The sequence below is a fragment of the Homo sapiens genome, chromosome 13 (assembly GCF_000001405.40).
Source record: "Homo sapiens chromosome 13, GRCh38.p14 Primary Assembly".
Taxonomy (NCBI): Eukaryota; Metazoa; Chordata; class Mammalia; order Primates; family Hominidae; genus Homo; species Homo sapiens.
The window spans coordinates 21,262,387-21,280,033 of NC_000013.11; the positions used below are offsets into that span (position 1 = coordinate 21,262,387).

Sequence of the window (17,647 nt, forward strand, 5' to 3'; positions counted from 1 at the left end):
CAATGTATTTTTTATTTCTATTTTTTCAAGTAACATCAGTATTGTTTAACTATAGCCAGCACTGACTAAAATTTTTATATTTTCAGAGTTGAAGTCGGTGAAGACATTCATGATTTAAACACCAGATCCTGAAAGGCATTAAATCTACTTTGAAATGAATCTGCAATCAGTATTTCAAAGCTTTTCTGGTAATTTTAGTGATCTTATTTGACTAGACTTTTTCAGAAGTACTAAATAAGGAATTTTAACAGGTTTTTATTAATGCACAGATAAATAGAAGTATAGTGAGGTCTATAGCCATTTTATTAAAATAGCTTAAAAGTTTGTAAAAAAATGAATCTTTGTAATTACTTAATATCTTAGTTAAGAACCCATCAAGCTTATATTTGCTGGACTTACAACTTATTTTAAATGCGTTTATCTTTTTTGACACTATTCAGTGGAATGTGTAAGCTAGCTAATTCTTGTTTTCTGATTTAAAGCACTTTTAAATCTTATCCTGCTCCCTAAAAACAAAAGGTTTTGATCACAAGGGGAAATGTAAGAATGTTAACCCTGTTTTTCAGAAGGGCTACTGTTAATTGCACATAAACATGAAATGTGTTTTCCCACTGTCTCACAGAATGCAACATTTCTTGGGAGAAACCTGACCAAAACTAGCAATATCGACAACTCTAACAGATTCCAGACAAAATTCAAACTTAATAGTGGTAAAGAAACAGGTTGTTCACTTGTCGAGGTGCAACAATTCTTAAGACTTCTGTTTGAAATTGCTCAATGACTAGGAAAAGGTGTAGTAGTTTACCAAATTTGTTCTTCCACCATATCAAAGTAAACAATTCATGCCTTTATAGGGTCAGGCCTACAATTAATAGGTATGGTGGTTCACAGAATTTTAAAAATAGAGTTAAAGGGAAGTGATGTACATTCTGGGGGCATTAGGGTAGGGAGATGAATCAAAATATTCCCTTAGTAATACTTTATATTTAATACTGCAAAAGCTTTACAAATAGAAACCATGTAATTACCTACTTTAGTTCTTTTGTCATAAAAACAGTCCCTTGGTTTGTTGGATTGTAGCTATTACTTATACAGCAACACTTCTTCAATTAGCAGTCTAGGCATTTTATAAACAGAAATCTTGGACCAATTGATAATATTTCTGACTATTAATATTTTAGTGCTATAAAATACTATGTGAATCTCTTAAAAATCTGACATTTTACAGTCTGTATTAGACATACTGTTTTTATAGTGTTTTACTTCTGCCTTAAGATTTAGGTTTTTTAAGTGTATTTTTGCCCTGAATTAAGTGTTAATTTGGTATAAACTCTGCTTTTAAAAATCATCATTTACTGGGTTCTAATAAATTAAAAATTAAACTTGAAAAAAGAAAGAATAACACTATTTCTCAGGTGGAGAAACATTCCATCTTTCCAAGATGTCCTTCCTTAGTGTTCTGACGGTATAATAGTTGAATATTTTAATATTCCATCCTGTCATTGGCCTGGATCCTGCTTACAATGTGGTGGTTGTTATAAGGAAAACTTGGCACTGTAACATCCCCCCAAACTGGGAAAGCGTCGAGAGACCAAAGAATAATATGGGCAAGTCCAGCTTGATGAATAGATGAGTTTACTAGGACTTACATACTGGACATTCCTAAGCAGCTCTAGAGTCACCCTGCCTCCCGTCTCTAAGCTGCCTTTCAGCTAATGTTCTGACTGTTTGCCTACTCTGTGTGCACGATGACAGTGTTTTCTTTGACATGTTCTCAGGTATGCCCTGGGATGTTTGGGTTCTCAGGGATCCCTGCTCCTCAGCTGGGCACCAGGGCCTTGACTCCCTGCCCAGCATTCAGGATCCAAGCAACACATGTACACTCTTAAGTAACCTGGTGGGGGACACATCACACTACAGTTGTCAATATTGCTAGTTTTGGTCAGGTTTCCCCCATGAAATGTTGCATTCTGTGAGACAGTGGGAGGTAAGTACTACCAATTACCGAATCCAGAGGTTCAGATTAGCTACTAATTTGGATTAGAACATTAATAATCAACTACCATTTACAGTGTACCTCTATGCTATTACATAAAGATATACTGGTTCCTGCCCTTAGGCAGCTTACTGCCTAGAAGAGGAGATAGCATTTATAAAAAAAACTTACTGAAGTGACTTAGTGATTGTTCAGGAGATGGGAAGAACATTCAAGGAATATATTTAACAGACTTGTAGTGTTTTCTTTGGGTAAGTAATTTGCCATTTTAAGTCTAAAAGAGAAATAAGAGTGTCCTCTTGCTTGACATTAAATTTGGTTTACCAGTAAAATCAATGAAGAAACTCAATACAAATGGTCTCCAGTGTATAAATGATGAGCATTTCTAAAGAATAGAAGTAAGTTTTTTGGATCTTGGTAGAAATAATGTTGTATATGGACTTGGGAGGCTGAGACAACAGGATGGCTTGCGACTAGGAGTTCAAGACCAGCCTGGGCAACATAGTGAGCCCCTTTCTCTAAAAAATAGAAAAAAATTATCCGGGCATGGTGGTACATGCCTGTAATCCTAGCGACTTGGGAGGTTGAGGTGGCAGGATCACTGGAGCCCAGAATTTGAGGCTGCAGTGAGCCACGATTATGCCATAACACTCCATCCTAAGCAACAGAGTGAGATTCCAACTCAAAGGTGGGGGGGAGAATGTTGTACATAATAGATAAGTTCCTAGGCTGGCCTCCAAGGGCTCATTTAATCTTTCTACCAGTTACTTATACAAACTTTGGATTTTCCCCCTATTTAATATACTATTAGGGGCTATATCTCATTCATGTAGCACCTACTCATGTGGCTTACAGATCATAGCAACTAGTTATCTTAAATCTTAAATTCTTTTTTGAACAAATTGTACTATAAAATATACACCTATAGAGGAAAGAAGTTAATTCAGTGTTTGTTCATTTGAACTGAAAGTGAAGCTAAAAGAACAACCCCCTTCTTGTATTCTGAAAACTGCATTCTCTTGTGTATGATAAAAAGGAAGTGCAAAATGCATAGGGACAATGACTCTCGTCTCTCCCCAGCTCAAATGGTTAAGCGTGCATCGGAAAGGAATTTGTTGGCCGGGCGCAGTGGCTCATGCCTATAATCTCAGCACTTTGGGAGGCTGAGGTGGGTGGATCACCTTAGGTCAGGAGTTCAAGACCAGCCTGGCCAACATGGTGAAACCCCGTCTCTACTAAAAATACAAAAATTGGCTGGGCATGGTGGCAGCCACCTGTAATCCCAGCTACTCTGGAGGCTGAGGCAGGAGAATCACTTGAACCCAGGAGGCGGAGGTTGCAGTGAGCCAAAGTTGCACCATTACACTCCAGCCTGGACAATGAGCAAAACTCCGTCTCAAAAAAAAAAAGAAAGAAAGAAAGAAAGAAAGAAAGAAAGAAAGAAAGAAAGAAAGAAAGAAATTTGTTGTTGTCAGGGCAGGGCAGCGGCTGTTGTCCAGCCAAAACAGACACTTGAAGATTCTTGAGATTCTTGAAGGAGCCAGCTTACTTTTTAAAATAAAAAAATCTTATTTCTAAAACTGAAGTTAGTTGGCAAGGAAGCATTCAAGTTTTATGTATTCTATCAAACAGTATCAAATGTTTCTACTCTAGTGAGGAAAATAGCACACAAGTTTATGTAATAATTTACTCTAATGAAGGTACTGTTTGAATATGCTACACTTGCATATGTCTAAAGAGTGATTTTTGTTCCCAGTTAAGTACAAGAATAGCAAAATGTGGAAACGTAAATTTAGCAATTGTTCACTCTTGTTTTCCAACCACCTCACATAATGCTGGAAATATACTTGGCATTCAGTAATTTTTTTTTATTGACCGATTGAATGAGTTATTCTGTTCCATGATTCCCACGTCTTTTTCCACACTAAGTTCTTACCACTGCTACAGAGGATACAGTCATAGGCCCCAGTGGTTATCCTAGAGTCGACAGGTAATATAGCTTAACAGAAAGAGTGTTGGTGTTGTGTAGAACTGGATTCAAATTCAGATTCTGACACACCAACCTTTCCCCACCTATAAAATGAGGGCTAGTACATACATGTCAAGGATTAAATGAGGTAATCTGAGAAAGTGTCAGGCATAGTGCTTGGAACATAGTATATATTTAATAAATGCTTGAGGTGCCTAGAACATAGTACATATTTAATAAATGCTTGCAACTATTAGCAAGTGTAAAAATATAGTGATGATCCCAGTGATGATGGAAAAGACATAGGTCAGTCAGTGACCACCAAGTAAAAGATAACTGAGACAATTAAGTTATTTTAGTGGTGTAATTGCTCTGTAAATGTGGCTAGTTAAGGCTAACAACTGATTGTTTCCCAGTATCAGATGATCTAGGCCAAAATACTTAATATCTAGCAGTGTGGTTAGACACATTTCTGCACGTAAAGGCTCAGAAACAGATTCAGGAAAAGCAAAATAGATAAAATAAGGCTTACACAGTTAGAAGAGTAAATGAGCTAGTTGTTGATATGCTTTAGTGGGCTTGGCAAGAGTGAGTAAAGAGGTAAGCTGGAGGATAGATCATATGCAATCTATGCCTCTAACCCAGAAATTGTGTTCCTAGGAATTTGTTCTAAGGAAATATTACAGATATGCACAAAAGTGTAAATACAAGGGTATTTGTCATTATAGTATTTAAAAGAGAAAATATATAAATGATCAAAATATTCAACAGTAGGGGATTGTGATACATATATATATAAAATGGGATACTGATGCAAGCATTCAGTGAAAAAAAGTAGATTACCAAACCATACGATCCTCATTTATTTTATTTTATTTTTTATTTTTATTTTTTTATTTTTTTTACTTTTTGAGACGGAGTCTCACTCTGTCACCCAGACTGGAGTGCAGTGGCACGATCTCGGCTCACTGCGAGCCCTGCCTCCCAGGTTCACGCCATTCTCCTGCCTCAGCCTCCTGAGTAGCTGGGACTACAGGCACCCGCCACCATGCCTGGCTAATTTTTCGTGTTTTTAGTAGAGACCAGGTTTCACTGCGTTAGCCAGGATGGTCTTGATCTTCTGACCTCGTGATCCACCAGCCTCGGCCTCCCAAAGTGCTGGGATTACAGGCGTGAGCCACCACGCCCGGCCAATCCTCATTTGTTTTAAAAAGCAAGATCACACATAAAAAAATAAGAAAGATAAAAAATGTTGGTAAAAGTAACTAAAGAATAAAAATATAGGGAAAAAGGTAGCCAAGGGATAGATATTGTTATTCACTTTCTTTTTACAACTTTATTAAGGTATAATTTGTGTGCAATAAACTGCACATATTTAAAGTATATAACTTGACTAGTTTTGACAAATATATACACCCATGAAACTGCCAGTTATAATTTTGAACATTTTTCATGACCCTCCAAAGTTTCCTTGTGTCCATTTGCAATACACACACACACACACACACACACACACACAGTATGCAGGCAACCATTGATCTACTGTTACAATAGACTACTTTGCATCTTTTAGAATTGTACGTAACTGAAATCACACAGTATGTACTCCTTTGCATCTGGCTTCTTTCACTCAGCATAATGATTTGAGATTCATCCATGCTGTTACATGTACCAGTAACACATTTTATTACTGAGTAGTATACCATTGTATGAATGTATCACATTTTTGTACTTATTCACCTGTTAGTGGACATTTGGGTTGTTTCCCAGATTACAACCCACATTTGGCTATTACAAAGAAAGCTGCCATTAACTTTTGTGTACAAATCTTTGTGTGGACATGTATTATCTCTTGGGTGAATATCCAGGAATCAAATGGCTATGTTGAATAATAGATATATTTTTAACTTTTTAAGAAGCCATCAAACTGTTTTCCAAGGTGATTGTACCATTTTACGTTCCCAGCAGCAGTAACTGGTGGGAATATGGCTCATTCTCAAAAGATGATCTGAAGTTTCAAAAGTAAATAAGTTATTGAAACATGTAATATGATGGTGGTAATTAGCCAACATGATAATACGTTACTCATAGGGTTGGTTGTGAGGATGACGTGCACTAATGCATAAAAAGCATTTAAGCACAGAGGAAGTACTCAGTATTCATTGGCAGTTTTATCATCATTCTGTTAATTTAACTTCTTTGGTTGTTAACAGTAGTACATTAGTGACTAATTTTGATAGACTAAAAATAAAGATAAACAGGCTAGACTTTAAAAACCAGACTCACATATTGTACAAAAAACATTCACGTTCATAAAAATACCCTTAAACAAAATTTATTTTTTTCTTTCCAGTAGAGGGGGCAGTGATTACCTGGCATTGTTGTAAAACAAAAGTTAAGCTTGCCATTATTGTAGTTATAATTTTTAATATAATTTTTGCAGTTATCTCTCAGTAACTTTTTATTATATACTATTTAATTATGAGTGTCAAGGTCTGAAAAATACATGATCAATTCAGGATTGGTTATAACTTTTTAAAGAAAGATATTTACATTGACTTGTTCTTACTTAAAATGTTTTTATTATACGACACATCACCTTCACTTTGGGATGTGGAATTTGCTAAGCAGTTAGCCACAGTCAATGAACAACCCCTTCAGAATGGCTTTGAAGAGCTGATCCTGTGGACAAAAGAGGGGAAACTGTGGGAGTTCCCAGTTAACAATGAAGCAGCTAAGTGTTAATTTCAGGGGGTTATAAAATTTATTGACTGAAATTATTTCTGCCAGATATTCACTTTCAGAGTGTAGATACTTACATGAATTTCAAAACACTTTGTAGATATCTTCATGGTGTCCTAAAAGAAATCTGACAAGGTTTTTTTAAAACGACGTTAGAATTTCACTTATTTTTAGATGCTTGATAAGGAAAATGAAGAAGTAAAACTAGATGGCAAAAATGCATCATGAATTTCTATGACATAAAAGGACTGAGAACTGCAAATGATTGCAGTTTTCTAATCGCTCAACAGGATATTACTTGATGAATCTTCTATATATTAAATAAGGGGTATGAGATTATACTTCAATTTTGGAGAACATTACAACTCTTAAAGTCTCATGCTGGTGTCCTTTAGTCATAAAACCATTGCATTAATGAGGTGCAGGGAATTTGTATGAGCAACTCAAAGCAAAAACATCGTAGGCTTTGGAAATCTTTGCCTGCATAATATAGATGCTTTGAACTGGCAACAGAATATCATCTACTTCACTGGGTAGTTTTTGGAGATGTTACCTCTTCCTAAATCAAAAGGAAAACAGTATTACTATGCTATTTATTTTTTATGATACCCATGTTGTCATCAGTTAAACATTTTAATTGAATTTATAGAAGTATTTTGAATTAGAAAAGATTGATTTACTTTTAGGGTAAGATTAGCTAGAAGTTGGAAGAGCCTGAATAAGTCTTAGGAAAATGTAGTCCATATTTTAACCTTCATAATGTTGTGGTATCATTGTAATATCTTAATTTTTGATAATCTTTAATTTGTTGGATTAATAGGTGGAACGGAAGCTTAAATATCAGAAATATTTAGTCTTATATGTAAATAATATAATTAATATAAAGTGTTGCTTTTTATACGAAAACTTTAGAGACTTACAGATTCTTTTAGCAAATTATTAATATTTTGTATATTCATATTTTTGTTTTTGTTTTTTGAGATAGATTCTCTCTCTGTCGCCCAGGCTGGAGTGCAGTGGTGCGATCTCGGCTCACTGCAACCTCCGCCTCCCGGGTTCAAGCAATTCTCATCCCCCAGCCGAGTAGCTGGGATCACAGGCGTGTGTCACCACACCCAGCTAATTTTTGTATTTTTGGTAGAGATAGGGTTTCGCAGTGTTGGCCAGGCTGGTCTCAAATTCCTGACCTCAGGTAATCTGCCCGCCTTGGCCTCCCAAAGTGCTGGGATTACAGGCGTGAACCACCATAGCCAGCCTGTATATTCATATTGTACTTGCAATAATACAGCATACTGTGTTTCATGTATTACATAATGTATGTATTGCTTAAAGTATGGTTCTGTGTTCCGGAAGATATCAGGGTAAGGTAAAAAGACCAACGCCTTTTTAAGTTGTACCAACCTGAGTACCAGCTCTGTCCATTATTGGCCATTTGCCTTTGAGGAAATTATTTAAGCACCTGGGCCTTAGTTTCCTCTTCTGTAAAATAATATCTGATATTAAGGAAAGATTTGGTCTACTCTTACAACATGTTTGGATTTCATTATTTGAAGAAACTTGGGTGTTCCAAGTCCTTATGTTTAAAAACCTAATTTGAAAACCCAGTATTAGGCCAGGCACGGTGGCTCATGCCTGTAATCCTAGTTACTTGGGAGGCTGAGGCAGGAGAATTGCTTGAACCCGGGAGGCAGAGGTTGCAGCCAAGATTGTGCCACTGCACTCCAGCCAGGGTGACAGAGTGAAACTCTGTCTCAAGAAATAAATAAATAAATACATACATACATAAGGAAGAAAGAAAAAATAACAGTATTGAGGTATAATAATGTGACTTTATTCAGGAGAGTCAGTGAAGCATAGTGGTTAGAAGTTCAAGATCCTGAGTGAGTTACAGAATTGATCTCTCCAAGCCTCACTTCCTTCATCTCTAAAGTGATGGGAATAATAATAATAGTGGTCATTATATGAGATTGGCATGAGGAGTAAGTGAGGTTAACCAGTAAAGCATCATCACCATCATCGTCCCTGTTTCTACAGCAACAACATTGTGAGGGGGTTTGCTTCTGTAACTGTTTTCCGTTGTATACAGTAACATTTTATTTTTCAAAATTTTACTTTATACTGGAACATTTTAAATCTTAGAATATTAACAAGGATAGTATGTATTATCTGGGAACCACCAAACAGGGTGCTAGGAAAGCACGAACTGGTAGTATATTGTCATCAGCAGTGAAACACTGCATCAAAATCATGAGTGATCAAACTCCAATGGAATTTATCTTAAATTTGACCTGGTTTCTGAGAAAATTTAATTTCTAAAAAAGGAGAGAAACATGGTTTTTTTGGTCAGGTTGAGGAGATAAATGTGACAATTGTCCACATGTCACTGTGCATATTATCGATATTTCAGGGTTGGAAAAGGAGGTGGTGGGTAACTCATTTCCAGCTCCCTAAGGCAATTGTTATCTGAAGTAAAAACAGGAAAGGACTGTGGAAACTCTCACTTTGATCACTGCCCTGGGTACACACTTAGAAACTTGTACTTTGAGAAACTGGCATTGTAACCTGGAGCCTCAACAATTCAATAACTTTCTTTGATATTTCTTATATTTAAATGTTGAGATTACTGAAATACATTTCTTTCCCTACTAATATTTAGCTTTATGAAGATTTACTTGGATGTTTTTGGGGAAAGATGTTTTGTTTTGTTTTTAGTAGCTCACTGGGTCAGTGTTGGAACATAATATTGAAAATGACAAAATGACATGTCATGTATTTACAATTTAATGCGCACTATGTTGTTTTTCCATTATATAAAAATTAAGGTTGTTTTGCCACTTAATGCGTATAAATTATTTTTCCAATTTAGAATAGCTTTCTGTTTCTGTTTTAAGAACTTGTTAGTCCCTTCTCTTGTGCTTTGCCTGCATAAAGATTTACAAGAACTATTAGGTGGAATTGTTCTCACTTAGATTTGGTACTAGTTTTATATGTTAGATTGTTAATGACATCGTTTTTATTTTAGCTTCTACTTTGATTTTAACTAAATTTAATCACATTTATGCCTACCCAGTAACAGAGTGTTTCTAAGGCTGGTTTTTATGGGGGAGGGGAGATTTGTGGGGGGGCTTCTTTAATACAACATAAAAGCATGATCCATGAAAGAAGAAAGTGGTAAGTTGAACTATATTTAAAATAAGACGTCCGCACTGTAAAAGATACTGTTAAAAAATAAAAAGACGCCAGGCGCGGTGGCTCATGCCTATAATCCCAGCACTTTGGGAGGCTGAGGTGGATGGATCACCTGAGGTCAGGAGTTCGAGACCAGCCTCAACATGGAGAAACCCCATCTCTACTAAAAATACAAAATTAGCCGGGCGTGGTGGTGCATGCCTGTAATCCTAGCTACTTGGGAGGCTGAGGCAGGAGAATTGCTTGAACCTCGGAGGTGGAGGTTGTGGTGAGCCGAGATAATGCCATTGCACTCCAGCCTGAGCAACAAGAGTGAAACTCCATCTCAAAAATAAATAAATAAATAAATAAATAAATAAATAAATAAATAAATATAAATAAAAAGACAAGCCACAGAGTAGAAGAAAATATTTGCAAAACACATATCTGTGATAAAGGACAGGTATACAAAATATATATTAAAAATTATTGGCCAGGTGTGGTGGCTCACGCCTGTAATACCAGCACTTTGGGAGGCCGAGGCAGGTGGATCACCTGAGGTCAGGAGTTCAAGACTAGCCTGGTCAACATGGTAAAACCTCGTCTCTACTAAAAGTACAAAAATTAGCCAGGCATGGTGGTGGACGCCTGTAATCCCAGCTACTTGGGAGGTTGAGGCGAGAGAATCACTTGAACCCAGGAGGTGGAGGTTGCAGTGAGCCAAGATTGTGCCATTGCACTCCAGCCTGGGCAACAAGAGTGAAACTCTGTCTCTAAATAAATAAATAAATAAATAAATAAAATAAAAATCTTAAAACTCAACAATGAGAAATGAAAAATCCCATTATAAAATGGCAAAATATGGCTGGGTGCAGTGGCTTACGCCTATAATCCCAGCCCTTTGGGAGGCTGAGGCAGGCAGATCACTTGAGGTTAGGAGTTTAAGACCAGCCTGGCCAACACAGTGAAACCCTGTCTCCACTAAAAATACAAAAATTAGCCAGGCGTGGTTGTACACTCCTGTAATTCCAGCTACTGAGGAGGCTGAGGCATGAGAATATCTTGAACTGAGGACAGGGAGGTTGCAGTGAGCTGAGATCTTGTCACTGCACTCCAGCCTGGGTGATGGAGCAAGACCGTCTCAATAAAATAAAATAAAATGGGCTAGTATGGTGGCTCACGCCTGTAATCCCAGCACTTTGGAAGCCTGAGGTGGGTGGATCACCTGAGGTCAGGAGTTTGAGACCAGCCTGGCCAACATGGTGAAACCCCATCTCTACTAAAAACACAAAAATTAGCTGGGCATAGTGTCACATGTATGTAATCCTAGCTACATGGGAGGCTAAGGCAGGAGAATCGCTTGAACCCGGGAGGCAGAGGTTGCATTGACTGAGATTGTGCCGCTGCACTCCAGCCTGGGTGACAGAGCGAGACTTCGTCTCAAAAAAAAAAAATGCATAAATAAAAATAAAAATAAATAAAAATAAAATGGTAAAATATCTGTTCAGATACCTTACCAAAGAACATATAAGGATGGCATATGAAAACATCATGTGTTGTTAGGGAATTGGAAATTATTTTTTTCAAATAGCTAAATTTTCACTTTTTAATTTATGTCTTCTTTTTAAAACTCTCATTTATTTGTGTCTCTAATTTTTGTTTTCCTCCTATTTTTTTTTATTTCCAACTTTTAGGTTCAGGGGTACATGTGCAAGCTTGTTACATGGGTAACTTGAGTGTCATGGGGGTTTGGTGTACAGATAATTTTGTCACCCAGGTAATCAGCATAATACCTGTAGGTAGTTTCCCAATATTCATTCTCCTCCCACCCTCCCCCCTCGAATAGGCCCCAGTGCCTGTTGCTCCCTTCTTTGTGCCTATATGTGCTTGGTGTTTAGCTCCCACTTGTAAATGAGGAATGCAGTATTTGGTTTTCTGTTTCTGCATTAATTCACTTAGGATAATGGCCTCCAGCTCCATCCATGTTGCAGCAAAGGCCATGATCTCATTATCTTTGTAGCTGCATAGTATTCCATGGTGTATATGTCCCCCATTTTCTTTATCCAGTCCACCACTCATGGGCACCTAGATTGATTCCATTCCATGTCTTTGTTATTGTGAATGGTGCTGCAATGAACATACATATGCATGTGTCTTTATGATAGAATAATTTACATTCATGTGGGCATATACCCAGTAATGGGATTGCTGGGTCGAATGGTAGTCCTGTTTTAAGTTCTTTGAGAAATCTCCAGACTGCTTTCCACAGTGGCTGAACTAATTTACATTTCCACCAACAGTGTATAAGCATTCCCCTTCCTCTGCAACCTCACCAGCATCTGTTGTTTTTGATTTTTTAATAATAGTCATTCAGACTGGTGTGCAGTGGTATCTCGTGGTTTTGATTTGCATTTCCCGGATGATTCATGACATTGAGCATTTTTTCAAATGTTTGCTGGCCATGTGTATGTCTTCTTTTGAGAAGCGTCTGGTCATGTCCTTTGCCCATTTTTTAATAGTGTTGATTGTTTTTTGCTTCTTCAATTGTTTGAGTTATAGATTCTGGATATTAGACCTTTGTTGGATGCATAGTTTGCAGATATTTTCTCTCATTCTGCAGGTTGTCTGTTTATTGAAATTTCTTTTGTTGTGCAGAAGCTCATTAGTTTTATTAGATCATTATTAGATCACACTTGTCAATTTTTATTTCTGTTACAGCTGCTTTTGTTTTTTTTTGAGACAGAGTTTTTGCTCTTGTTGTGGAGGGGAGTGCAGTGGGGCGATCTCAGCTCACTGCAACCTCTGCCTCCCAGCCTGAAGTGATTCTCCTGCCTCAGCCTCCCAAGTAGCTGGGATACAGGGGCCCGCCACCATGCCCAGCTAATTTTTTTTGTATTTTTCATAGAGACGGGGTTTTGCCATGTTGGCCAGGCTGCTCTTGAACTCCTGATCGCAGGTGATTTGCCCGCCTCAGCCTCCCAAAGTGCTGGGATTACAGGAGTAAGTAACCGCACCTGGCCTACAGTTGCTTTTTGACTTTGTCATGAAGTCCTTGCCTGGGCTGTTGTCTAGAATGGTATTTCCTAGATCTTCTTCAGGGTTTTTATAGTTTTAGGTTTCACATTTAAGCCTTTAATCCATCTTGAGTTGATTTTTGTATATGGTCAAAGGTGGGGGTCCAATTTCAGTCTTCTGCATATGGCTAGTCTAAGGCTATTTTTGATATGCTTTCCTAGAGTAACTCTCAATTTAGAGGCTTCAGTGGCGAAAGAAGGTCAGGATGGATGTTAATCACACTTTTGTTTGTATTCTTTAGTTGGTTTAAACCTTTTCAATTCTTACATATCCTCTATGGTATCTGAAATATATGCTGTAATATGAGCCAAGAAGAACATTGAGATAAGTTCAAATTACCATAAAACCCTAAAGAAGGGCTCTGTTATTTGGGCAAGTATAGTGTGGAGAAAATTAGGGAAAGTGTAAAGATTATTAGGTAGGTGCTAACTGAAAGGTAGCAGGATCTGTTTGTTGTTTTAGATGAGATTATGGCCTGGGAACAAGAGCCTTAAAGTACTGACAGAAAAAGAAATAATAGTTTTGATAGTACATAGAAGTGGAAAACAACAATTCAAAGTGAAAATGACTGAATTTGGTTCAGTGCTCTACTATGCCCTTCTCAAAAAGAATTGGTCATTGCTACTAACTGCAATTCACCCTTTATTTGTTGTACCATATTTTTAAAGTCTATTCAATACTTAAAGCAGAATTAGACACAATTAACCTATCACCTTATTTGATTGTGCATCATATAGAATTTCCTTCTTATGTTTAATGTTTCACTATCTCTTATGTTTTCTTTACTGTATTGTGCTTCTTTGGTTTATTAAAAATATTTTAAATTACATAAATAATGATGAAAGTTTACCTGCAAAAAAGTCAAATGGTGTAAAAAAATTATACTTTACCTGTCATTTCTCTTTTTTTCTGAAATAAGCATTTTCGATAGTTTGATATGTGTTCTCTCAATCCACATTAAATGGCAGTTACACATTTATCTGCTGTTTTATTTGACTTGTATGGGAACATACTATACATATATTGTCCTGCAGTGTGCATATATATATATATATTTATTTATTTATTTATTACATAGCAGTATGTCTTGAAAGCATTTCCTTGTCAGTACATACAGATAGACCTTATTCATTTCATAGTTCTATATGTCCCATTGTTCTGAACGCAGACCATAATTTCTTTTACCATTTTCCTTTTGAATAATGGAGCTATAGTAGATCCTTTTACACATGTTCTTGTGTACATGTTTGAATACTTTCAATTCCTAGAAGGGTCAAAGAATAGGTGTATTTTAAATTGCAATAAATACTTACAAATTCTCTTCTGAAATGATAGCCAGTTGACCCACTCCAACCAACTATGTAAAAATCCTATTTTTCCACAGTCTAACTAATACTGGATATTGTTAATCTTGCAAATGTTCTGGGTAAAAACTGATATCAATGGTGTTTTCATTTGCATTTCGCTGATTGATAACCAGATTACACGTCTTTTCATATGTTTATTGGCTATTTGTACTTCCTCTGTGACTTACCTTTTTACATCCTTTGACTGTTTCTGTTGGGCTCTTTGTTAATTGTGTTTGTAGGAACTCAATATATTATGGGCTTTAATTCTTAAACTCTTACATGTGTTGGAAATATGTTTCCCAGTCTGTCTCTTTGCCTTCTTTTAAAATAATTTGATTTTAAAAATCATAGTAAGCATTTGGTTTAATATAAAAGGTGACAATATAAAGCACAAGGCTTATGAAGCAGTTCTTTTTATCACCTATTAGGCCTGTTCTCAGAGTCAACGTCTTTTAATCTTTTAGATGTATTTTACTTTTTATATTTCTAAATTATATGCTTCTATCTATTTTAGATGTCATCTAGTGTATATATCTTCTCCTCATCCTTCCAATATAGATACATCACAATTTTTTGTTAGATCTGTATTCATTGTTTACACTAATATGACTATGGAGAAATGTGTGGGTGTTTTTTTGTTTTGTTTTTTGGTGTTCTTTGAGACAGAGTCTCACTTTGTCACCCAGGCTTGAGTGCAGTGGCAGGATCTTGACTCACTGTAGCCTTGAATTCCTGGGCTCAAGTGAGCTTCCCATCTCATCCTTTTTAGTAAGGAGGACCACAGGCACTTTTTTTTTTTTTTTTCAGAGATGAGGTGTCACTATGTTGCCCAGGCTGGCCTCAAACTCCTGGGCTCAAGTGATCTTCCCACCTTGGCCTCCCAAAGTGCTGGGATTACAGGCGTGAGCCACTATGCCCAGCCTGGAAAATTGTTTACTGGTAAGACAAAAAATGTTCTATGAGTATATTTTATTTTATCTTTTCTTTTCTGTGACTCTCTGTGGAAATTGCATGTGTGTCTGTTTGTTTTTCAGGTTGTAGCATGCAATTGTTGAGGGGTGGACTGTATCATCTTCATCTTGTAATTCCAGTGCTAGTCCTTGTCCCTGAGCATATGGTTGTTGAATAAATGAATGAAAAATGAGAAAACCAGAAGCTCTGATACTTAACCACAATGACAATTAATTCAATCTGTGACTATCATCCAATTATATATCACAGTAATTTTGTGTTGTAATTTTACATATGTATTTTTTATTTTTATTAACACTGATAAAGTTCTCAACTCTTATTACTAACTTAAACTTACTTTAAATATGGAATATTTTAGATAAAAATATAATTATTTCTTTTTTCTTTCCAGACGTTGCTGAATTTGAATTGGGATCACATGTGTTTCCTCATCTAGGACCTGGTGGTAAGTCAAACATAAATTAAGATATAATTTGGAAATACTATAGAAATACGTACTGATTTTAACCAGATACATATGAGTGGAAAGACAGTAAAATGTGATTACTGGGCTGTTTACGTGACATTTTATTTCTCATTATGTATATGACACGGATAACTCTTTTTATTTTTATACTTTAATTTTTAGGGTACATGTGCACAACGTGCAGGTTAAATATGTATACATGTGCCATGTTGGTGTGCTGAACACAGTAACTCGTCATTTACATTAGATATATCTCCAAATGCTATCCCTCCCCCCTCCCCCTACCCCACAACAAGCCCTGGTGTGTGATGTTCCCCTTCCTGTGTCCATGTGTTCTCATTGTTCAATTCCCACCTGTGAGTGAGAACATGCAGTGTTTGGTTTTTTTGTCCTTGCGATAGTTTGCTGAGAATGATGGTTTCCAGCTTCATCCATGTTCCTACAAAGGACATGAACTCATCATTTTTTATGGCTGCATAGTATTCCATGGTGTGTATGTGCCACGTTTTCTTAATCCAGTCTATCATTGTTGGACATTTGGGTTGGTTCTAAGTCTTTGCTATTGTGAATAGTGCCACAATAAACATACGTGTGCATGTGTCTTTATAGCAGCATGATTTATAATCCTTTGGGTATATACCCAGTAATGGGATGGCTGGGTCAAATGGTATATCTAGTTCTAGATCCCTGAGGAATCGCCACACCGACTTCCACAATGGTTGAACTAGTTTACAGTCCCACCAACAGTGTAAAAGTGTTCCCGTTTCTCCACATCCTCTCCAGCACCTGTTGTTTCCTGACTTTTTAATGATCGCCATTCTAACTGGTGTGAGATGGTATCTCATTGTGGTTTTGATTTGCATTTCTCTGATGGTCAGTGATGATGAGCATTTTTTCATGTGTCTTTTGGCTGTATAACTGTCTTCTTTTCAGAAGTGTCTGTTCATATCCTTCACCCACTTTTTGATGGGGTTGGTTTTTTCTTGTAAATTTGCTGGAGTTCATTGTAGATTCTGGATATTAGCCCTTCGTCAGATGAGTAGATTGCAAAAATTTTCTCCCATTCTTTAGGTTGCCTGTTCACTCTGATGGTAGTTTCTTTTGCTGTGCAGAAGTTCTTTAGTTTCATTAGATCCCATTTGTCAATTTTGGCTTTTGTTGCCATTGCTTTTGGTGTTTTAGACATGAAGTCCTTGCCCATGCCTATGTCCTGAATGGTATTGCCTAGGTTTTCTTCTAGGGTTTTTATGGTTTTAGGTCTAACATGTAAGTCTTTAATCCATCTTGAATTAATTTTTGTATAAAGTGTAAGGAAGGGATCCAGTTTCAGCTTTCTACATATGGCTAGCCAGTTTTCCCAGCACCATTTATTAAATAGGGAATCCTTTCCCCATTTCTTGTTTTTGTCAGGTTTGTCAAAGATCAGATGGTTACAGACATGCGGCATTATTTCTGAGGGCTCTGTTCTGTTCCATTGGTCTATATCTCTGTTTTGGCACCAGTACTATGCTGTTTTGGTTACTGTAGCCTTGTAGTAGAATTTGAAGTCTGGTAGTGGATGCCTCCAGCTTTGTTCTTTTGGCTTAGGATTGACTTGGCAATGCGGGCTCTTTTTTGGTTCCATATGAACTTTAAAGTAGGTTTTTCCATTTCAGTGAAGAAAGTCATTGGTAGCTTGATGGGGATGGCATTGAATCTATAAATTACCTTGGGCAGTATGGCCATTTTCACTATATTGATTCTTCCTACCCATGAGCATGGAATGTTCTTCCATTTGATTGTATCCTCTTTTATTTCATGGAGCAGTGGTTTGTAGTTCTCCTTGAAGAGGTCCTTCACGTCCCTTGTAAGTTGGATTCCTAGGTATTTTATTCTCTTTGAAGCAATTGTGAATGGGAGTTCACTCATGA

General features: G+C 36.8%; 1 long non-coding RNA gene across 3 annotated transcripts in view; it reads left to right on the forward strand.

Annotated features, from left to right (window-relative positions):
- LOC105370105 (uncharacterized) overlaps positions 1–17,647 on the forward strand; it is a 32,756-nt gene that overhangs the window by 2,374 nt on the left and 12,735 nt on the right. For 2 of the 3 annotated variants that reach the window (XR_001749768.3, XR_001749771.1), the window contains exons 2-3: positions 87–188; positions 15,663–15,716. This is a non-coding gene — a long non-coding RNA (uncharacterized LOC105370105). Of the gene's footprint in view, positions 1–86; positions 189–6,596; positions 6,699–15,662; positions 15,717–17,647 lie in introns of those variants that run through there. The other variant, XR_001749770.1, reaches the window with a different exon arrangement.